The sequence below is a fragment of the Homo sapiens genome, chromosome 3 (assembly GCF_000001405.40).
Source record: "Homo sapiens chromosome 3, GRCh38.p14 Primary Assembly".
Classification (NCBI taxonomy): domain Eukaryota; kingdom Metazoa; phylum Chordata; class Mammalia; order Primates; family Hominidae; genus Homo; species Homo sapiens.
The window spans coordinates 139929513-139953694 of NC_000003.12; the positions used below are offsets into that span (position 1 = coordinate 139929513).

Sequence of the window (24182 nt, forward strand, 5' to 3'; positions counted from 1 at the left end):
AAAGAATTCAGCAGTTTACAGTTCATTTTACTCTGAAAACAACCTGCTTCATTAGTCTAAGTTTATAGATGAGGAAACTGAGGTTCAGAGTAAGTAGCTTTCTCGAGTCAGACATCATTAGAAAACAGGAAAGCTAGGTTTGCAACTTAGGTCTGTCTGATTCTAGAAATCATTTTCTTTCCACTAAGCTCTACTTATTCCTTGCCTTGGCTTCTACAAGTCTCAACATCTGAGCTACAAAATAGGACTAATTACACATGACTTGCCTCGAAATATAATATTTATCTTTTCCCAGCCTTTGTTGTAGGGAACAAATGAAAATAAATATGTTCTATTTCCTCTAGATGTATTATAAATGACACCAAAACTTAGTGGTATAAACAACCATTTGATTACATTCATGGATTCTATGGGTCAGGAATTTGGGCAGGGCATAGTGGGAAGAATTATTTGGAACTTTCAGGATAACTCAAATGTTGGACTCAGCTGGGGCTGTAAACTACTTATATACAGCCTTTCTGCATGGCCTGTGATCCTTAAAACATGGCGGCCTTAGCGTAGTTAGAATTCTTACATGGAGGCTCCAGCCTCCATATGTGAGCATCCTAGCAAGCAAGGCAAATGCTGCATCACCATTATTATCTAGTCTGGGAAGTCACACAGCATCACTGCTGGTGCAGTCTACTGATAGAAACAATGCTCAGATTCAAGGCTGTTTGGATTCAAGGAGAAGAGATATAGATTCCATCTCTCAATGGAGGAAGAGCCACAGAATTTTATGGCTGCTTAAAAAAACAAACAAGCAAAACACCACAGGGCATAAAATTCCAAGGAAAGTATACATAAGTGTACTGGAATAATGCCTTGCTATTATTAATGATATCTTTGTTTTCAGCCAGGGCACTCCACCTTGCCAAGCATAAAACACTCATGTCCAAACAATGCTGAACTGGATTTGGTTGTGAACAAGCTTTTTTTTTTTTTTTTAACTTTTTCCTGAAGAGAAATGCCTAAACTTTTTTTAAAAGAAGTTCCTTTGGCAGCAACAGCGTAAAAACTTCCAAGAACAATGTTAAAAAATCTGCAAACTGTCCAGTTGTTCAAGCGTCATGAAGCCCCAGTTTTACCTGTCAAGATGGGAAAAAAGAATGACAAATGACTCTAGTTCTGTAAAGATCAGCTTTTCAACCTTTCTTTTAAAGTTAAGTACTTTTAGTTGAATTAAATCTGGGTCATGGAGAAAGCCTCAGTTTAATTTTCTTTTTAAAAATAAGTTTCCATAAGTATATATAATTTATTTATTTTCTTTGATTACCCAGCTTAAATTATTTAGGGCCTGTGTTTTGGTGCTTAATTGGGCAACGCATTAATGATCCTGGTGAAATGAGAGGAAATGGCTATGTTTATATGGGGCCTATGCCAGTTAGATTCTATTTTCTGGAATAGGGGAGTTATTTATTTATTAAGAACTATTGACCCAGATAAATTACCTGAGATTCATTATTACACTGCCAGGTGGTGCCCCAGACTTGAGGCTTAGAGTGACCAAGCTTTACATCATCCTGTTCACCATTTTTTTTTTTTGAGATGGAGTCTTGCTCTGTCACCCAGGCTGCAGTGCAGTGGCATGATCTCGGCTCACAGCAATCTCTGCCTCCCAGGTTCAAGCGAGTCTCCTGCCTCAGCTTCCCGAGTAGCTGGGACTACAGGCACGCACCACCACACCTGACTAATTTTTGTATTTTTAGTAGAGATGGGGTTTCACCATGTTGGCCAGGCTGGTCTTGAACTCCTGACCTCGTGATCCGCCCGCCTCGGCCTCCCAAAGTGCTGGGATTACAGGCATGAGCCACCGCGCCCGGCCCTGTTCACCATTTTTTGAATAAAATCTTTAGAGGAATATGCCACAATACTAAGTCCAGAATAAGTAATGGATATTCAGAGATTTGTATCTCTACTTTGGTGACAGTTGGCTATTTAAATTGGTCCTTAATCAGAGGTAGTGATAGATAAAGGTTTTTTAAAAATCAAATCCCCAAAGCTATCTTTTCTGATTTGAAACTATTTTTTGTTGCTTACTTATCCCGCATGCCTCTCCCAAAGTCATGATGTGTGGGAGAAAGATGAAATTTGGAATTAAGCAGACATGAATTGATATTCTGCACAATTATGCAAATATGGATAAGTTGCTCAAACTTTCTGAGCCAGTAATCTGATTATGATTAAATAGGGAAAATAGCACAATTGTCTTAGTCAATTTTCTGTTGCTTATAACAGAATACCTGAAACTAGGTAATTTATAAAGAAAACAAATTTATTTCTTAAAATTATGGAGGCTGAGAGGCCTGAGGTTGAGAGTCCAAATCTGGTGAGGTCCTTCTTGTTCATGTGGATTCTGTAGAGGTGGCAAAGGGCATCACATCATGTAATAGCTCAGGTCTCTCTACTTCTTGTTATAAAACTACCAGTCCCATTCCCATGATAACCCATTGATCTATTGACACATTAATATATTAATCTATGCACAGATTAATCTATTCATGAGAGCAGAGCCATCATGAACCAGCCCCCTGCCAAATGTCTCACCTCTCAATACTGCCACATTGAGGATTAAGCTTCAACATGAGTTTTGGAGGGGACACATATTCAAACCACAGCACACTTGTTGCAAAGATTAAAGAAGGTGTAGGTGTGGAATGTATATCCTCCATTGTAAAGCCTGGCATGGAAAGAATGAGGACTCATTAACTGTTAGGTTGCTTTACCCCATCTTTTGCATCTGCAATGGCCCAGCAGAAGCAGACAGCACAGTAGTGCTCCATACAAATGATGTGGACTTAAAAGCTCTTATGTCTGAGTATTTCTAAGGCTGAACTTACTTACTTTTATCTCCTCTAAGGCAGGTCATTGTTGCCTGTTCCCCAAATGAATCAAATCAAATGTGTGACTGGCACACTTGTTTTCAGAGATATAGGAAGTAGGATAAGGGGAAGACATTTTTACATTTATTGAACATTGACTATGTGCAACATACTGTTTAACATATTTTTAAAATTTACTTCTTGTAATGATCTTATGAAGTAGGCATAATGCTGCTCAATCAATTGCTCCAGAACATAATGAATTAATGCAAAAACCACTTATTGTATCTCATAAGTCAGCTGGATAGTTCTGATGTGAGCCAGGCTTGGCTGATCTTGGTTGAGCTTACCTGGGCTTGCTCATGTGTCTGTGGTTAGCCAGCCTGTAGGCCAGTTGGTTCTGACCAGCCTAGTGTGACCTTGGCTGTCTGAAACAGCTCAGTTCTACTCCATGCAGTCTCCTACCCTTCTGCAGGTTAGCTTAGGCTTGTTCTCATGTCAGCAGCAGGGATTCAAGGCAGGAAGAAGCAACATGCATGCCACTGTCCCACTGACCAAAGCAAATCATATGGCCTAGCTCAGAGTTGGGGTGGGAGGGCACATCCAAAGGAAACAGATTCAGAGAAGCATGGACAAATGGCCATTAGTGCACTTGATCTACCACAATAGGCATTGTTATTACCCTCATTGGTAGAGGAGGAGATGGAGGCTAGCAATTTTGTGCCTGTTGGTAACTGGCCCACCCCCTAGTGTTTTTCTTTGCTGTGTTCTTTCCTGGCTATCTCTCCATGGAGATGCTTCCTAATAAGCTACATTTCCCCCTGTTTCTCATTATTTGGTCTGAATTTGAAACTTCACATAAAATTATTAGGACCAATCAGTGATCTTAACAAAGCCCAGTATAATGACATCAAAGAACAGTGCAGGTAAGTCAGTAAGATAGGTCTACTTATTAGAGAAAATGAAGGGAGGAGGGCAGATATGTAGTTGGGTGGAGCATAAATGGAAGAAAATGAGACAAATTTACATTTCTCTTCTATTTTCTGGCTTTTTTATTTTCCCTGGGTCAGCTACCACCTTTCCATGCCATCTTTTCTAGATTCTGAAACCAACATCTGACAAAGGCAAGGTCCTGGTGTCGGCCTGGGACATTTACTAGATTTTTGACCCTGAACAAGGAAGTTACCTAACTTCCCTGAGCCTCTATTTCATCATGTGTGAAATGAGAATAATAGCGCACATGTTGATTTGTGGGCTAAAGGAGACCTGAAGGTAAAGAGCCCCACATGGGTCTGAGCCCCATGCAGCCACCATGATTCACTGCTGTCCCCAAGCACATCCTGGTGCCTGAAATCCTGAAGAGTTGGCTTTCACCACTGCAGAGGCTCTGAGTGAGCTGCCAGGGCAGCAGAGGGAGGCTGAGCTGCAGGAGTGCTGTTAATGGATTTTATGGCTTTGTTGAGTACCTCAAACTACAGTTATTAATTAGAGGATGCTGTTTAGGCACTCTTGCAATATATACATTTTGTTAATTGATTTGTATAGGCTCATAGCTAGCAACATAAAGAATGTGCAGGACCATAACACTTACAAGGGATTGTAATTGCCTTTGCTGCCCTCTCTGGCTCCCCAAGCAGGGAACAAAAGCTTTGAGGATAGGACCCACTCTCTCCTCTGTCTTTGGATCTCCAACGACTAATCCAGTGCTCACTGTCAGGGTGATACAGCCTGTCTAGATGCTCAGCAAACGTCTTGAATCAATGACTAAATAAATAATATTGTTTGTTTCTGTATTTCCATATCTACTTTATTTCCAAACTATTCCTCATAAACCCTGCATTGTGTGTGATGTTGGCATTTCATTTAGGTAAATATGGTCAAGGATTTATTCTGAGTCCTTACTGTTTTTTTTTTTTTTTTTTTTGAGTACCTTTGTAATTTTTTCACGGCCTAGAGATGGTTGAGGATGCAAAGATATGCACTGGCTCCTGCACTCAGGGAACTGACAATACTCAACGGCACGAGATTTTACAATGCATGACGTCAAGTAGCCTGTTCTTAGAGATGCGGAGTGACAACATAAAGGTGGCAACTTCTTGCATGGCACCATACCGCAGGGAATTTTAAGTTTGACACCCCGCCCCCGCCACTGCAGCCTCAGCAGGCCCAGCACCCCAAGTTTTCTGATCTAGCTGTTCTATCAGCCTCTAAGAGCCGCGGCTGCCCCTGCTTCTCGGAGATGACGCGGAGCCCTGCCATTGCCATCCAGGTCCAAGGCTATCTACTCTGCCCGACAACCCCTAGCACCACTAGGCGCTGCTCTAGTGTGCGCCTGGCGCCCTCCCCAGACCAGTCGACGCAGAACGCCCAGAGACCCAGCCAAGGGCAAGACCCTTAGCGACGCCCGTCAGTCCTCTCCGCCCAGATATCAGTTCAAAGGGCATGGCAGGTCAGGGTCCCTCGCGCCACCCCAGATGACCCTCAGGCCTCGGGTGGCCACTTTCTGGGGGAGCCCTCCATCCCTTGCGGCAGCTTTTCCGAGAGTCGGAGTGGAGGCGCGGGGCTGGAGGGCTCTCCGGAGCCGCCCACCAGGGTCCTCTGGGGGCCCGGTCCCGACTGGGCAGGGGGACCTGGACAGGGCCCCGGAGCGTGGAGACGGCTGAGGAAAGTTGGGGGTCGGGGCCTTGGGGCGGGGAGCGCGGAACCCGGCGCCGATGCCCGCGTTCATGAATATGCACGAGCCACCTCCCTCCCTCCGTGACGTCACGGGCCGTCCCGGGGTGAGCGCCTGAGCCGCTCCGGGTCCGCGCCAGTGAGCGCGGCTGCTGCCGGCGAGCTAGCGGCGCAGCGGCGGGAACCCGAGGCCGAGCGCCGCGGCGGCAGCGCTAGAAGCGCACCCATCGGGCACGGCGAGGCGGCCCACGGTGCGGCAGGCACCGGGAGGCGAGAGCCGGCGCGGACAGTAGGCGGCGGCTGCAGCTCGTTGGCGGCTGCTGCGAGGATGCTGCCTGGGCGGCTGTGCTGGGTGCCGCTCCTGCTGGCGCTGGGCGTGGGGAGCGGCAGCGGCGGTGGCGGGGACAGCCGGCAGCGCCGCCTCCTCGCGGCTAAAGGTGGGTGCTGGGGAAGTTTGCTCTTCTCCCAGGAGGGAGGCAGGGCAGGCTTGAGGGTGAAAGCGGCAAGGACCTAGGCTCAAGCTGGATTTGCCCACCCTCCCTTGCCGCAGCTTCTTTGGCCTCTGTGCGCCCTGGATTCCCGAAGTCAGTTCCCTGCGCAGCGGACCAGAGAGGTCCACCCGCGGACGTCAACTCAACCCCTGGGCGGGGTCCGGGGGCTGAGCAGAAGGCGAGGTCTGGGGAGTACGGACAACTTTGAGGGCTGTCTGTGCCGGGGTGGGAGCGCAGTGGGTGAGTTTCGAGCTCTGGCCCAGGGACGGCTAGAGCAGGGCGCTGGCGCGCCGTGGGGACAAGCAGGTGTCTGCTCCTGCCTGGGGGAAGGATCAGCGGCGGTGCTTTCAAGGAGGGAGCCGAGCTGTGACTTGTCTCCCAGCTCGGGGATGGAGTGGAAACTTGTAGGCTCCAGGGAAGGCCCCGCTGACACTCCTCAAGCTCCCCCAGGGCGTCTCTGACTCCCCGGGGAACGTGTACCCTCCGGGTAGGCGGCGGGGTCCGGAAGAAGCGCGGGATGTGAGGCTCCCCGCTGCCTTTCCTACTCCGCTCTGACTACCGAGGACCGAGGAGCCTAACCTGGCACCACTCCCCTGCCCACCCTGTTCCTTTGAAGAGCTTGACCTCCCCGCGCCTCCCGCCCGGAAGGAAGCTAGATCCAAGCGAACGCCTGGCTCTGTCAGGCGAGCCTGGAAGCCGGCGAACCCCGGACTTTGACAGCTGCCTGGGAGCGTCGGGAGCTCTGGGGTGGGGGGCCGGGTCTGAAACAGGAGGTCACGTGCTTGCAGGGGGTGGGGAGGCGAGGGAAGAGCAGAGCTGGTGGGGAACAGTGGTGGGCTCAGGGGAGGCTGTGGCAGATCCTAGCTGGGGCGCACAGCTTAGTGATAACTTGTTGATTCTCTGCGCTGTTCATAAGTAGGGCTTGCGTTTGGTTTGTGGACTGTGGCCAAATCCGCCAGGTGACAATGAGGGGTACTTGGTCCCCAAATCCTGCCTGGCAATCATCAGAGGGCGGAGGGGTTTGCGCCTGTCAGAAAATAGATTCCCTGTTAGAGACAGCCTGATTCGGACGCTTGCTTTGAGCTACACTTGACCACTAGCTTAGGGGAGGAAATGCCTATCAGGCTGCATTACTCTTGGAGGTTGGGGAGAGCTGGAGGCAGGCAGTTCGCCTTGTCTGGGCTTTAGAAACTGGCCCTCCAATAACTTAGGAGTGATATATTTGAGAAGAACATGGGAGATTATGTTTATCTGTAATTTTTAAATTTTTTGGTGTCATCGTTTTGAAAATATTTTATAAGCAGGCATTCTGTTTCTTTTCAGCATTTTTTTTCTTGGTGTATCTTTGACAGGCAGTTTCTATTTTTAGAAATGAGAAATTTCATGAGAGAAAAACTCGTTATGAAAATATCTCAGAGTGCGGTAAAGAAGTGGCTGATATGAAGGGATCAAGCTGAGAGACTGTTGTTTTGGTGAAGACAAGAATAAAAAACAATGAACTTCCAAACATCTCCCCCCTGCTTTCCCAATATAGACACTTTGTTAAACAGGCAAATTACTTTTTTGGGGGGTGGGGGGGAGGAGATTTCCCATCACTTTGTAGCACAGTAATTGATATAAGCAGATGTCTGCAAACGGGAGTTTGAAGGAGGGTGAGAAGCACACAGCAAGTGCAGAACAGGGAAGAAATCATTTGGGAAGAGGATCTGGTGTGAGTAGTAATAATGCACGGCTGAGTTCTCAGGTCAGAATGGGAAGCTTCATAGAGGTAAGCGAGAAAGAGAAGGAGAGAGATAAAAAAGGAAAATAAAAACCCCAGGCTTTCAATGATTCACTTTATGTGGATAATTATGTGCATTTTAACCAACATCCGACTTAGAACATATTCATTTTTTGGTTAAAACTAGGCATTTGTCAGGTCGGGCATGGTGGCTCATGCCTGTAATCCCAGCACTTTGGGAGGCCGAGGCGGGCGGATCACCTGAGGTTAGGGGTTCGAGACCAGCCTGACCAACATGGAGAAACCCCGTCTCTACTAAAAAAAAAAAAAAAAAAAATTAGATGGGTGTGGTGACACGCACCTGTAATCCCAGCTACTCGGGAGGCTGAGGCAGGAGAATCACTTGAACCCGGGAGGCAGAGGTTTCAATGAGCCGAGATCGCGCTATTACACTCCAGCCTGGGCAACAAGAATGAAACTCCGTCTCAAAAACAAACAAACAAACAAACAAACTAGACATTTGTTTTTCCAGGGTAAAAAGTTTATTGGCCCTGCAGATTGAGAGTTAACTGTCCGAATTCCCCTTGTTCTCGCTTCTTTCCCCTTCCAACCACTGGGGGGCTGCAAAGAGCTCTGTTTGCTGCTGATTTTTTTTTCAAGATAAATGTGTAATATTTGATTACAACAGAGACATTTATTATGACACTTTAGTTAGTATTTACAGGACTGACTTTCCTTATAACAATGCACTTGCATTTTATGTTTCCAAATCATATGATCTCTGAAGAATGTTTGAAATGATAAAGCTGTATGTTTTGTGTATAATGCACCCTGCCTCTGACTTTGCCATTTTTAAGGTTCATACCATTGTTATTCCCATCACAAAAAAAAAAAAAAAAAAATCAGGAAGGCGTGTGAAGATTGAACAAAAAACCAGATACTTCTTTCGTACAATTCTGTATTCATGTGTAGAAAAACACTGGGAGTCTGGAGTCAAGCTTTCTGACAGAGTTGAATGCACCCTCCAAACAACTGTCTGGAAGCATGTGCTCCCAGCTTCAGTCTTGTGTAAGATGTTGTGTCTGTGGTGCACAGCTTGTTCTGCCTTTGTGCTTCTTGCTTCTTGCTTCTTGCTTTAGGGACTCGAGCAGTTAATCCCGGACAACTACCTGGGGTTTTCACAGAATCACTGTACTTTCAGTGTAGACATATTTCCAATTTCAGAAATCACACAGTGGCCAGGCAATTATAACTCCTTCCCTTCACCCTTACATATTTTGGCTATTCAAAAAAGATAAATACTTCTTGGATTCCATGAAGAGACCAGATCACATGCTCATGTTCTATGAGTAAAGCTGGTAAGGTGTTGTGGACCCAAAGAGTTTCTGGAGGCAGAGAAAGACATGTCTTATCCAAGGGAAGGAAGACAATGCAATCTAGACAACACCTCAAAGTTTGTGCTAAATTTGGCAAAATGTCAGTGGTCCCAAGACCTCAAGGACTTGGTACACAGTCCTTCTTAAGTTCCCAACATCTAGGCATAGAGGTCATTTGGAACAATACTCAAGTATAGACCATCAATTGTTGTAGTGCCCGCCTTGTGTGCTAAGAGCCTTGCTCAGTGCTCTGGTTCTGAGCCAGTAGCAGAGGACCACCCTCCACCCCTCCCACCCCTACCTTTCTTTTTTTTTTAATTTTTATTATTATTATACTTTAAGTTTTAGGGTTGAGGAGCTTCTGTTTTAGTTGGAGAGACAAGATTTTTATGTGAAAATTTTAAGAGAGTGGCAGCGGAGAGAATTTGTCCAAAGTATAGTATTGACTGTGATAGAGACACAGGCAAAGGAGATGGGAGTGCAGAGACAAAGTTTACAAAAGCAGCATGTGGTAATAGGTAAGGAGGAGGATGGAGCAGAATTATAACAACAGTATGGTGTAATTGTAGTAATTTCAGTGTATGGAGTCCCTCTTTAGTATGTCACAGGCACTGTTGCTAATCCCATTACATGGGCAATCTCTAACTCTTACAACACATGCAGAGCCAGTGTTAGCCCATTTCACAGATGAAGAAACAAATTCTATGAGAGGGTAAATGAACTTGCCAAGACCTCCAGCTAGAGGGTGTGGCACTGGGATGAGAATATAAAGGTCACTATACCCAGTGCCCCCTATTTGTCAGATAGTCTTCCCAGTGGTTTTGAAAGCAGGTCTAGGGACCACAAGGAAGCTGAGCTGTTTGCATCTTTGAGTTACCCAGGAGCCCTTGTGGTCCTGCCCACAGAAGAGCACAGTATGAGTGTCTAAGGCTGTTTAAAAGGGCATGCAGGTGAGGTGAGGGAAACGGACCTTGCTCTCACCATGGAAACCAATGTTCTCGCTTAGAGCAGTCACCTCATTCTCTCTCCCACAGATTCAAAAACCATCCTTGAATATTCCAGATTGCACACTGCAGAACTTCCTGCAGGGGCAAAGGTAGTGTGGAATTTTTATGGTGGATTGTTCTAAGTCATCTTTGGGTAAGTAGCAGGTGTCTTCTAGTGGTATAACAGAGTCATTTTTCCAACTGAAGCACAAATGCCAAAAAGCCCTCAGCAATGCATCAGAAAGTGTACTCTGACCTGCTGCCATCCTGAAACGCCTGTGGTTCTTGGACCGGAATGTGCCCTTTACCTCTCTTGGATTCTCTGGGCATCAAGCTAGTAGGTCACCTTCCTCAGCCCAATTTTCACTGTTACTCAAGATTTGGCCTTCCATAAGGAACCTTCCCAGGCTGGTTACTTCTGAGTGACTTGCCTCTCTTTCCTGCATGCCTGTGTTTCCTTGTCTGACTCTAGTCCTCAGGGCTCAAAGACCAGTGCTAGAGGCTCATTCTGACTCTCCTGGTATCTCCAGAGCCTTGCCTCAAGATATGAGATGAGCAGTATGCAGTGATTTGCTTGGTGAACACACCTGTTTGTAATCCCTAGTGCTGTCATTTCTTGACATAGACAATTTATGTGTTTTTCCTTCTCCTCTATAAAGTAAAATTTGGGCATATGGCCAGAAAAACTTGAGTTCCAAACCTGGCCCTACTGCTTCCTAGTTAGATGATCTTGGACAAGTTAGTTAACCCATCTGAGACTCAGTTTCCTCATCTCTAAAATGGGGATACAGAGATCTACCTTGTAAAATAGTTGTCAGGGCACTTAGCCCAGTTTGGGGCATGTAAAATGCACTAAATATACAATGACTAATTATTGATCACTTGAACAGTTAGTTTAGTGTCTGAGATTTGGTGAATTTTTTTTTTTCTGATCTCTTAGAAATCCAATAGCTTTGTTCATATCTTTTCTCAGCTCAAACTGTTATCCGTTCCTCTGTTTCTCAGTCTCTCTCTGCCTCTCTCTCCTTGTGTGGATATGCACCTGTGTGTAAATATCATATATAAATGTAAATGCACATGCATACACACGCATTTGGCTTGACTTGTTTGTAAAAAGACATGCTTTTTTTCACTAGTCTATGGATGTCTTTGAAGCCAGAGCTCCATCTCATTCATCTCAAAGGCCCTGGCACTTAGTGCAGGGCCAGCTCAGAGTAAAGGTCAGCAATATTTGCTATCTAAGTAAATAAACAAGCCTGTCTCCATGTGCTAGTGCCAGAGGTGTGGGAGGTTCTGGTCTCTGGAGGGAGAGCTTATGTGGTGTGATCTGGGTTGTAAGGAAAGATCTCCTGCCCAGTTCATACTTTCCTCCAAGCCCTGCTACCTGAGAAAACAGAAAGGCATACTTTTTTGTTTAAGGTATTGACAAGTTTTGTGATAATACATGTTTATATGGAATGGGGTAACTGAAGCTATGATATTCAAATAACAGCTTGAAATCGATGATTGTTTTATTAGCTGTTATCTAACCCATGACTAATTGGACCCTGTGGAAATGGTTCCCTGGGAAAGACAGGTTTTGAGGGTAGACCATGGGGAGGCCTGAGCTGGGGAAGAGCACTGAGCTGAAGATCCTGGCACTGTGTAGGACAGAGGATCATGCTCTGAGATTTGGGAAAGAAACAAGCAGTAGGCCAGAGGGAGTATTGGTCAGAGGAGAATGGTTAGAATGAGAGTTAGCCCTTCCAGACATGCACTAGGTCCTGTTCTCTAGCCTTTTCAGCCAATTACTATTTCTCAGCCTCCTGTTATTCTCTGTGAGGGGAACAAAAAGATAAAAGCAAGTTCCAATTATCAAAGAGTTCACACTCTGTCTAGGGCAAACACTGCACATCACACATCACACAAACTATTGCAGAACTTGGTGACTTATGGGAAAATCATAGATTGTGCATCACAGACCCCCCGAAGCCTTGCAGGAAAGGAAGAAGTTGGCAACAATAGAGGTCAGGAAAGACTTATGGAGAAAGTAAAAGGGATGTTGATGGGTGGGTAGGCATTGGGTAAGCATATGTCAGGGGCAGGGGTTTGCACTGGACAGGTAAATACAAGGTGGTAAGAGTGATTGGCACACAGGCACGAGTGAAGAGGGAGCTCAGCCAGGTCAAATATTATTTCTGCATCAGATTCCAGAGCTAATAAAACAGTGAATGTTTATTGAGTTCATACTATGTGCCAAGCACTATCTTGAAGCACTTCACATATGTCGGTTGGTTTGATCCTCGTACCAACCCTATGAAGGAGGTAAATCTACAATCTTATTTTTACAGAGGAGTAAACTGAGTCACTGAGAAGTGAGGTAACTTGCCCAAAGTCTCAGAGCTCAGAGGTGGTAAAACTGGGGTTACAAACTCAGAATACACTGGTAGGCATGGGTTCCCCTCTTCACACAGGCTTACCTATTCAGAATGATGTGATGTCTGCTTGAGGAAGGCTCTGAGTGAGGTCAGAGAGGCTCTGCTGCCCTGGAAGGCATTGCCTTGCTGTCCAAGAATATTTGCTTGGATTTTACTTCAAAATTGCTGAAAGAATCGGTTTCCCTGAAAGCCTCACTCTCTGACTCACTTCTCCAAGTGAGCAATACCTGTTTCTTCTCATCCAGACAGCTTGAAGCCCTCCTCACCTCCTGTCATGCTTGGCCTCAAGCAGAGGAGGCAGCCTTCTGCACTGTATAGTCCCAGATGTGTTTGGAGGGGTCTCCTGCACCAGAAAGACTATCCCAGCTGGCTGGCCTTTGTACCGACAGTTCTCCTGATTCGGTTATTCATTTGGGTTAAATATTGCCCTCTTCTGACTCCGTTTTAGGCCAGGATACATACTTTTAAACATATTAGGTGGCTAGATAACAAAGTGGATAAGAAGGGGATGTTGAGAGGTGTGCATGGCAAGGGCGGGAGGAGATCATATAGGAATAGCAGATAACCAGACTGTTGATCGGGCTGCCTTTTCTTCCACTCTCACGGCAGGATTTTATATATGCCCATTGTATTGTTCTCAGATACCCCTCTTACACATTGGTAAATGCACATTACAGGGCATATAGCAGCAGATCAAAAATCAGGACAAGGGGTCAGACTGTGTGCAGTTGATTGCAATCCAGCACCAGCGAGCCAGTGTGGTGAGCTAGGTGACATCTTGGACCATGGCCACTTGAAGCCCATTTCTTTCACTACTGAGCAGTTTTCTAACTCTAAGGACAGGCAACTTATTTCCAATACTTTCTCAGGATCTTGCTTGTCTCCAGCTCAAGACCCTCTACTCATATCAGTCCTCCCCAGAGATTGGCCAGAGATGCCCCTGATCAATACTTTTTTTCCCTAGCTCACTTTGAGCCTCCTACCCCACCCAAGGCTCACTCAGTATCTGTTTCCTTTAGGATGCCGCAGCCCCATATGTCCCAAACTAAGCTCTCATTTTTCCTCCAAGAATCTACTGCTTCTGCTGTGGCCTCTGGGTGAAAGGTACATCATCCATACATTCACCCAAGCCAGAGCCCCCAAGAGTCCTCCAGCATGCTTGTCTCTCCACAAATATCACAACCCATCCTTCCTCATGTCTGGTTGATCCTATCATCACCATCTAGAACCTCTCCTCAATTCCCATTGCTTCTGCCTTGTTTAGCATCTTGTGCAAATGAAAGCACTAAATTCTAATTTTGACCCCCTCTCCAACCCTCCCATTATGCTGCTGTCAAGGTGGCAGCATGTATGCCAGTCCCACCAGGCCTGCAAGAAACTCCATCTCAGTCATGAATTCTATCTTTCACCCTCCACGCTAAGGTCTGTAAGGTTTTTAAGAATAGCTTAACACTCTGGAATTGCCTCAGATTTCCCTCCCTCACAGGTTATTACTGCTTGTGATGCCCATTGTCCAAACAGCATGGTGCCTTGAGATCCTGGGGTGTCTACTTCCACAGGCAACAGACGATACCACCAGCACCTAGAATCTAATATTCATGCCACATTCTGTAGTCACTTCCCCAGGGGTGCTATCACCATCTGGGGATGGGAGCTGGAACAGGCTACCGGTTCCCATCCCAAAGGAAATCAGCTCGTCTCAGTTTTAGGGTGGGTACACAAAAGCCACCCACCTCCAACCTCTCCCATCCCAACCATAACCTCAGTTAGGGGCTCAGGCATTCACAGAGCAAAGGCCAGGACTGGAGGTATCTTCAGAGAACTTCTGCCTTCATCCTTACAACCCAAACCTCCTTCTTAGAACAGGCAGCCATACCCCTTCTGATAAACCTGTCCAGGGAAGCCCCAGACCTCCCAAAATAGATCCCAAACTCTCCAGCCTGGCGTAAAAGTCTACGATTTTGCCCATCTGGCCTTCTCTCCTGTCAGTGAACTTTCTAGAAATTTCCAAATAGTTAATGCTTTCATCTTTCAAGAACTTACTATGCACCAAGCACTATTCTGACTGCTTTATAGATATTAACTCATTCAGCCTTCCTGACCACCAAGTGAGATGTGCACTCTTATTATCCCCTTTACAGATGAGGAAACTGAGGCAAGGAAGGTTAAGCTACTTATCCAGTTTACCCAAGTAGTAAAACAGCAGAACTGGGATTTAAATCTAGAAAGTCTAGTTTCAGAGTCCCCCCTTTTATCCAGCCCTGGATGCAAAGTGGAGCCACTTGAGAGAGATTTAAAATAACACCAATGCCCAGAACCCATCCCAGAGATTTTGTTGTAATTGCTCAGGGACAGCACCTGGGAATCTATGTGAAGCTCTCCAGTATTTCTGGTGCCCAGCCAAGACTGAGAACCACTCCAGCAAACTCTACTGCTTCTGCCAACTAAGTGGTACTTCCAGGTGGGGGCTGTGCTCCTCTGTCTTTCACCCACCAGTCCTTTATTTTCTCTGTCAAAGCTCCCATTGCCACCTGTCTCCCAGGGTGGCTGTGAGCCCTTGGAGGGGGAAGTGCCCTGCTCACCTCTGTATGACTGTTGCCCAGCACTGTCCAAGGCCCAGAGCAAATGCTGAGTGTTGAGGGGGTGACTGGTGCTAGGGCGCTGCTGCCCACGCTGGCTGCAAATCCTGCAGGGCTCTGTGCCCATGTACCTTCTCCCGTCAGCACTGCTTCCTTCCTTTGGTCATGGGGAGGAGCTGCCCATCAGGCCTTTCCCTTTTAGTTATTTGACTATCTGCCCAAACCAACTTGCAGCATTTGCTCCGTAGTGGTTTAAAATACTCGCTTCCGCACATGCGTCAAGAGAACATTAACCACCTTGAAATGTATTAAACAGTCAGGCCGGCAGATACCAGTGGAATTCTCATTCAGAAAGGCTGTCGGTGTTTTTCTCATTGCTTCTGAGAATGCTTAATTGGCTAACATTTGACTTATTTCTATGGAATCACTGCATCAAATTGTCATGTGAAAATTGCCAGTTAAAAAAAAAGACATCATTTTTGTGACTTCAGCCACTTTGCATCTCTATGATGTCTGCTGTATTATATAGTTAGGTAAAACTTTGGAGTCTTAATCAAGTCTGACTAGAAAACCACTGTGGAGTATCAAAGAAAGGTCATGGTCTCGGACTCATGTGACCTAGATCCACTGATGAGTTGTGAGGTTCAGGGCAAATCACTCAGCCCCTCTGGGTGTGAGTCTCTATCACATGCAGAAAGGACACAATGGCACCTCCTCTACCCAAGAAAGTTCTAAGTATTCAAATGGAAGTGGCTCTGTATGCCTTTTGAAAGGATAAAGCGCTTACAAAAACAAGGTGATCATATTTAAGAAATCTTCGAGGCTTAAACCCCAAAACAAAACTCTACGTCTTTCTTTCTTTATACTGTCTTATTAATTTAGTTAATTATATTTTCAGGAGAAGTTTGAATTTAGTGTGAGTCTCTTCCCAGTTCTTTGATGTGTAGCCTGCATGTGTCACACAGCTGGTAGTCACCATGGTTACACAAAAAATGCAGCAGTTGCAGGCCCATAAATTTTCAGGAAGAACCAGTCAAAACTGTTAATATTATGTCAAGTTGATGTGTTGTTTTCCAATTTGCGTGGATAACTGCATTGCAGCAGATTAATTAAAACAGATAAATGTTAATCTAATGCATGTCTCCTTGTAATTAATGAAATATAACCATTACAGAGGTGTTTGATTTATTATTTTAATATATAAAATGCTGAATTCTCCTATAAAGTTAGTTATAGTAATAGGAAAAGCTGACCCATATATAGCATTAAGAAAAATAATCACATTTCTATAAATTAATCACTCTCTAAAAGCATATAGTTCATTAACACTATGAACTGAAAGTGTTGGATGTAAATTAGATTAACCTTTTTAGTGACACTTCCATTTATATTGCACATTCTCTTCAAACTAAAAGCACTTTACATATATTAATTCAATTAACCCTCCCTAGACCCTTGTTAAGTAAGTACATATATCAAAGTTGGAAGGGAGGAGAAATGAAACCCTTCAAAAATACTGAAATCCTGCCCTTAGGATGTATGATTTATGATTTCCTCTGCAGCAATACAGTTTATCCAGATTTATATGGCTTGAGAACATGGGTACATATCCATGCTTTCTCTCTCATGCTGCCAAGAAACCCTTAACATGTCACTTCATGCCTGAAGCTGGAGATGCTTCTGCCTGAAGCTTAGGCCAGATGCTGTAAGGAAATTTCTGTTTTATTTAATAAAAGGTACCCCAGCAACTCTGGGTTTGGTGGTAGACAGGGCATGTCCAAGTGGGTATGGGTGGCCAGACCTTAGTGCCCCATTCAACAACCAGAGGGCCATTGTCCCTTGGTCTTGCTGCTACTCCACCTCTACCCTTTTCACTTGATCATCTGGAGGCTCAGGTCAGACTGCAGCTCTTGAACAAGACCTTGGGATGCTACTGGGAGGAGAAACAAGGATCTGCAGGGAGGTAGGGATGGGCATCAATCTTCCTTAGCTGGGGTCCCTCCTCAGACCTGCCTTGGTGAGGGGCAGAGGCTGCTGCTCCCTCACCTGCTGAGATGGAGGGCAAGGATCAGCCAGAAGAAGACTTCATTCTCCATCCTGCCTAAAAGCCTGTTTCTCAAGGAAAGTTTCCTGAGTGAGGATCTGGGTCTTCTGCTGTAGTGTGTCACTAGGAGTGCCCCATCTTTTATGAGGCCATGCCTCTTTGGAGCACTTACCATTATTGCTCAGGCTTCCTGGAGATAACTATGCACCCAGAGAGAAGAAAAGGATGGAAGCAGTCTTGCATTATAAGAACTAGAAGACTCAAGGCAGAGACTACAAACATTTCCTTAGTTTCATTGAATATGTGTTTGGTGACTTGAGGTTCTGAATGTTCATTTTTCCAACTCTTTCTGCTCCTTAAAGTTCTGAAATGCACAAGCACTCTCCTAGGGGCAGTGTCACACTATATTCCACAAACCAGTCTTCTTTGAAATGGAGTGCATCTCAGATAACAGCCTACCTTTTAGCTGATGGTTCCAAACCTACCAAGGGCAATGGCTAACCCAAAGGAGTGAATCACTAATGATAAAGCATGAAATCTAGTGTAGAAAAAACATTTTGGAGTGTTTGGATTCTTCTCCCTGACTCTGCAGTTAGAAAATAACCTACTCTTGTCCTCCCAGCCAACATGCAAGGACAGTTTAAGCCCACAGTCCTAGAATCTCACCACATTGTACTCTGCCAATACTTATTGGTGCACATCTCTTTGCTGCAAATTGCCCTAGCTTCTCTCCTCTAAGTAGTGCCTCACAGGGATTAATAATCAGGACTTAAAGCCAAGAACTAAAATGTTATCATTCAGGAAACTCACAAAGATGCTGGAGAGTGAGAAAAAATATTCACTTTTCAGTTCATGATATTTTAAGAGTTTTCTTTTTTCTATGATGCTTTTATTTGTGGGAGAATGGACCATCATTTGGAGTAGGAAAGAAAGCTAAAATTACTCACAATGAGAGTAAAAAGAATGTCATAGCTAAGACCCCGATTTCACCTTCCTAGATTTATTTTTGTTGTTGTTTTTTCTCCCAAAGGAAAACCAATTATTTTGACTTTATTGTGCTATCATCAGAAATGTCAAGATGGCTGTATCTTGCTTAATTATTAATGTTAGAATTATATTTAAGACTTTTTAGTAATTTACTGTGATTTTAATTAGAAGTCATAAATAAAGCATTTTTATTGCACTTGCATTTTTTTTTTCCTTTTTTAACAACTCCTGCCTCCTTTCCATGCCAATCTTCCAGAAATTAAATTCCAGTCTTCCTAGGGAGAAGGAACTCAAGTCAGGGACCAGCCAAGAATCTTCTTAAAACCATAGCTTTTCCTTCAGTTTTGCTTTTTAAATATTCCACTACTACTTTGTCCCAATGGCCACAGCAACAGAAGAGGAGAACAAACAGAATCATCACATTAGCCTTTAGCACTCCTCTTGTCTCACTCTTCCCTTATCTTGCCCTCACCCCTCCAGGATCTTTCTCTGCTTGTCCTTGGTAGCATCAAGGACTGCTTTTGAAGGTAGGGTTTGGCTGCTCCCTGGAAGCCACTCCTTAAAATACTACCCATAATGGAGAGAATCATCATCACCCTAGCTTTACAATTTGTGTTTTCTCAATTCAATGGAAAATGTGAGCAAAAGCATCTTTAGAAAATATTGCTACTTTTTGGGCATGGTGGTGGGTGCCTGTAATCCCAGCTACTCAGGAGAGTGAGGCAGGAGAATCACTTGAATCTGGGAGGCAGAGGTTGCAGTGAGCCAAGATAGCGCCATTGCACTCCGGCTTGGGTGACAGAGCGACTCCATCTCAAGAAAAAAAAAAGCAAAGAAAAAAAAATTGTTACTTTTATTGATCAGAACCAGCCAACCTTGCTAAAGACCAAGGGCTTGCTATGAGCCACCATTTCAAAACAAGTCACCTGTTCTTATATAGGAGGCCATTTGATTGGAAGTGTGAATGAGGTGACTTGCTTTGAAGTGGTGGCTCATAGCAAGTCCTCTGTCTTTAGTACAGTGCTTTTACTCACATTTTCCACTAGCTTGTGGACTGATCTCTCTTTCATCCAGTTCTACACAGCCCTTGGTGGATCTTCCAGATACACACACACAGTCACTCCTGCTCAAAATTCCTCATGTGACTTCACCACTTTCATGATACAGTCCACATTCCTTGGCTTGTCTTAAAAGGCCCTTAGTTGGTGCCTACCTGTTCCTGGGCTAGAAATGAAGCTCTCTGTAAGCACAGCCCAGCACCTAGCCCAGTGTTGGAGTGAGCAAATGAGGGAACCCTCTCCACACTTGCCCCTCTCACTTCAGCCCCATCTGCAGGACGACCCAGTTTTCTGCCTGGAGGAGTTTTCCTGTGTTCTGTCTGCTGTGCACACTGCTCTGTCTCCTCCTATGCTTTGTCCTGCCTGGCAGCCTGGAAGGCCTCCCCCACGCTGTCAGCATTTCTGGGAATCCCCTGGGGCACTCCCCTCCCTTCATTATGTGGCTCCCATATAGAACTCCACAGTGACACTACTCAATTGCATTGTCATTGCTCACCTATCTGCGCCTCACTAGATTGCGTTCCTTCTTCCCAGGTTCTCAGACTCGGTCTAACGCTATGGATGAAGTAGGTGGATGAATGATGGATGGAGCTCCCTGGAACCCAGCTCTTTGCCTTGTGGGGGAATGTAAGGCTGGTGTGTGGAGTTTTCCTTGTCTAATCTTTCTCCTTCATTCCCTGGGATCCCCAGTGTTCATCTCCTCAGTACACACACATAAGGGCTGGCAGAGCAGGAGGATTAGGAGAGGTCAACATCCCAGGAAGGGCCCTACTGGTTATTGCTGGCATGAGCTGATACATTCAAGATGGGGAGATAGAGCCCAGCTGGGGTTAGGGACCTTTTGGGTATAAGTTATGGCTGGGGAGCGGAAGCTAGATAGCCCAGGGTCATGAGCCTCTGCAGCAATTTCCAGAGTGTGCACCCTTCCTGGATAATTAATGTAAATTACCTTTGCTATCAGTGAATTAGCATAGACATAAGGCCCCACTTTGCTCCATAGCATTGGATACCAAACACGTGGGAGAATATCTTCTGTCACGCACTGATGAGAATTTGGTTGTAACCATCAGCTGCTGCAGGTGGATCTGACACTTTCCTATGTCATTCCTTGGGTCCTCCTTGCTCCTATCAGCATTCCCTTAAACCCTAGACTGTACAAGTTTTAAGTGGATAAAGCATGCTCCATTTTCCAAACAGGTCATTAAAAACAATTTGCAATTTGTGATATCAGATGCATGTGTGTGTAGAGGCAAGAAGGAAGTTTTTAATTGGAAAAGCTTTGTCTTCAATTAAAGTGGGATGCTGAATGTGATGAGGCCTGTGGAGTTCTGAGCCTACAGCTAGGGAGGCAGGGCAGCAGGAAGAGGGGCCAACCTTTGGCTGTGCTGAGATTTCCAGGTTGTGTATGTAGTCCACAAAATGAACAAACGGGAGTCTCTCTGAAGACAGAAAATTTACTTTTTGCTGGGATTCCCTTATGGGAATCCATAAGGATAGGCTGGTTTGGTTCTGAGTGATAAAGCTTTGGCACTCTACATGGGGAAATACCATCTTCCTCAACCAAACCAAAATCCTGAGCTTTTGAGGCTGGTGTTGAGAGGGTCACCTTCTGAGGGACAGTCCCCAGGCACATGGATGAGAGCTAGGTTGCTAACAGCCCTGATTCTCTTCTTGAAATTCCCTTTCTTCTAGGGGTAGAGGTTTTTCTCCAAATAATGCTGCCACTCCCTACATGGGCTGAGGTTGAGCCAAGATAGAATAGACCATTTTTTCTGTAACTCTGGCTCTAGTGGAAATAACAATTCCCTTTAGATATCAAGGCTTGAACTTGGACCAAACAGGATTTTACTAAAGTTTCAGGATGGATAACGGAAATAAACATAAAGAATCATGAACTTTCAACCGTATCAGAACCAATGGTCCCTTTTAACAACACATATTTTGTAGTGCCCCCATTATTATTTCTGAAATGAAAGGTACTGATACTGTTATGCATTTATATAATTTAACAAATCAATATAATGTCTTCACTGAATACAAAGAAATTAGAAGTTAAATAATGTATAATAAAATGATATGTATTTCAACAAATGCTTGGGCCCAACCATACAAAAGGAAGTAGTGAATTAGATGCTTGTTGTCAGTTCGCAGCAACACCACGTGAATCACTGTGAATTCAACAGCTTACAGATGCAAACAGATCTGTGTGTGTTGTATTGGTGATTCAGATGTCATGGACATATTGTGGCGATGTGACTTTTTTAAATGCTGAAAGACTTCTGGCAATATTTTGAATAAGACAAAGCATTCTTTGGCCTCAATTCATAGGATGGTTGTATTCCTGGAAAGCTCAGGGTTTATCAAAGCTACACAGAGAATATCCAGCTGACTCACTTTAATGCCACTGGTACAGGGAAGAGAACTGTGGGGCTCTAGATGGTATGCTGGGGGCCATTCAAGCAGAGTGGTGCCTGGATCACCCCTCCACCACACATGCACTCACCATTTCCTGGTTCTAAGAGGTACCCAAGAAGTATCTCATATGTGCTTACAGGCCGAAATTGCCTTAAAGGGTAGACAATTTCTAGAACAGTAAATAGGTCTTTCTAAAGACATTTTTGGGGAAAAGAGGAAAATGTCACCAGCTGGTGGTCAACTGAAAGAGGCCAGGATTTCACAAGGAGATCTTCTGGAGAATAGGGTCTCCCTGGTGGGGGATGCTGGAAGACCACTTGGGGAGCCCATAGATCATGTGCGAGAACATCATTTAGACCAAGCAAAAGGAGAATCACTGCTTTGCCAGTTAAGCATGGGGACATCTTGTGGTCTTTCCCATTGCCTGCTTCTCTACCTGACACAGAAGCACTGTTAGGGGGTGTGCGGGGAGACCACACTGGGCCCAGAGACAATGACCTTTGGATCAGATATAAGATTGAAGTTTAAAAGTGAACTGGACTAAGTCTTCTTAACAAAAAAGAAATGAAAAGCTATGAATTGGGCTGGAATATCTTTAAGGCAGCTGCCACCCTTTGGGAAAGAGGAGCTTGACAAATCATGGTAGGGAGCAAAAATAACATCATTTGATGTTTATAGTCCAGTGGATTAGACTCCAGCAAACTGGCTAGAGTGTTTATTAAGGTCAATACTGATATTTCAGAGATAAAATGCTATTCTCTTGGATAAAAATTATTCCTTAATTTTCTCGTGGATAATTTATAGAGGTGAGGGTTTTTATTTTGTTTTTGTTTTAATCCCTACATGGCTCTTTCTTTTTCCCCCTCCTCACATAAGCTTGAAGTGTTTCTAAGAGAGAGGCTGGATTGCCTAAGAGAGTTTCAGCAACTTTGAGATGAAAATGCATTTTAATATTTTGATTTAATGGGGAATGGTATAGCCCCTTAATAAGTAGTTCAGTGACATTTGGTAGTTCTGTAATATTTGACTTGGACTTGAGTTTATAAAAATTTCAGCCCAACAGTAACTTCAGGGCACTAAGGGATGTATGTATTTCTGAAATGAGAAGACCTGGTTGACATTCTGATTCTAAAATCAACACCATTCCTTATGCGTCACCATATTTTCGATTATAATGGATGATGGGCTATGAATTTTAAAAACAGCTTCTCTGCAAGCTCCTGCACAGACCCAGCTTGTGCAATAAAAAGAAGAGCTTGGGAGAGAGAGGAGTGTCCTCATGCCCACTCTTCTGACTTGACTTACTAAAATGCTTCCTTCTCCGAGACTGCTTTGGTTTTTTGCCCCTACATTGGTTCCTTGGGAATTTTTTAGAACGTGGAATCTTTTCTAACTTTGTGGGGAATTTTTATCCTGATTTGCTGAAATGGTTGAGCTTAGGAAAGGTAAAGTCCTGTCAGTAAAAACCTGAGATTTTATGAAATACCTATGACAGCCAGACAAAAGTATTTCTAAAAAAAAATTGGGGGAGCAAAACGGATGCCTAGGGCATGGTGTTCTTGCATCTCTTTGCCATTTCAGGATAAATTCAGGCCTTTGCTACCTGTTCGTTTCCCATTTCACCGTCGTCTCACCTTCCAAGTAGAAAATACCCTAAATGGATTATATTAAGGTCCCAACATGTCATTCCTAGGCAGTGATTAAGGTCGGGGTTATTCTCAGGGAGCCCCAGGATGCAATGGTTTTGTGGGTACTGGGCTTACGTTTGTTTTTACCAGGAGGTTCAGAAACAGACCTCCCTTCACCAAGGGTGGTCACAAAATCAGGTCTGAAACGGCCCCATATTCTACCCATAGCCAGCTCAGAATGGGGAAGGGCCAGCCCTACCCGCTACCCCACTGTGCTGAACTGGAGGAGTAGAATGGTTGTTGAGTTAGGTGGGACCTGCTAATAGTGGCTTAGAATTTGGGGCTTCCTCCCCAGAGGGAATGTGAGCTTTGGGTTCAACCTCATAGCTGGCCTTGATACCTTCTAGGAAATGCCTTTCATCAGGCTCAATAAGGTACAGGTTGAATAGAGACTAGATAGTCTCTATCATATGGGCAGGGCATATCTGGTACAACCACCCTCTATGCCCACACAGATCCTCTCCCCTACAGGATTGAGAAACTACCTATTGGGTACTCTGTTTATTACCTGGGTGATAAAACAATCTGTACACCACACCCCTGTGACACGCAATTTACTCATGTAACAAACCCAACATGTTCCCCCTGAACCTCTAGGGAAGAGGGTATTTGCAGGCATAGAGGGTGGTTGTAGCTGTCAGTGCTGTGCCTGTATCCCCTCTGCTCATGCCTTTTTCGTGCAGGTAGGCCTGACTTCCAGCAGCACCTGTGGTCTCTCCCTGGCCCCTAGACCCCTCTGTGCTTGCCAAGTGTGGCAGGTCAGTAGTCAGAGGGAATTAATGCCTTTGGGAACTGTCCTTACCAATGACTCACAGGCATTGATGGAGCAGCATTCCAACTCCCCCTTCCCTCTCCCTCAGGTGGGAGGATGACTGAGGTATTTTACC

General features: G+C 44.9%; 1 protein-coding gene across 1 annotated transcript in view, besides 2 other annotated features; it reads left to right on the forward strand.

Annotated features, from left to right (window-relative positions):
* Positions 5671-5720: a silencer, noted in NCBI's record as "silent region_14770". NCBI's record gives its function as "represses an Ori minimal core promoter by ATAC-STARR-seq in GM12878 lymphoblastoid cells {active_cell/tissue: GM12878}" and the evidence as "EXISTENCE:reporter gene assay evidence [ECO:0000049][PMID:35858748]".
* CLSTN2 (calsyntenin 2) overlaps positions 5673-24182 on the forward strand; it is a 642213-nt gene continuing 623703 nt past the window's right edge. Inside the window, exon 1 of the mRNA NM_022131.3 lies at positions 5673-5971. Coding sequence (NP_071414.2) covers positions 5863-5971 — 109 coding nt within the window. The 5' untranslated portion in view covers positions 5673-5862. The remainder of the gene's footprint in view (positions 5972-24182) is intronic.
* Positions 5761-5820: a silencer, noted in NCBI's record as "silent region_14771". NCBI's record gives its function as "represses an Ori minimal core promoter by ATAC-STARR-seq in GM12878 lymphoblastoid cells {active_cell/tissue: GM12878}" and the evidence as "EXISTENCE:reporter gene assay evidence [ECO:0000049][PMID:35858748]".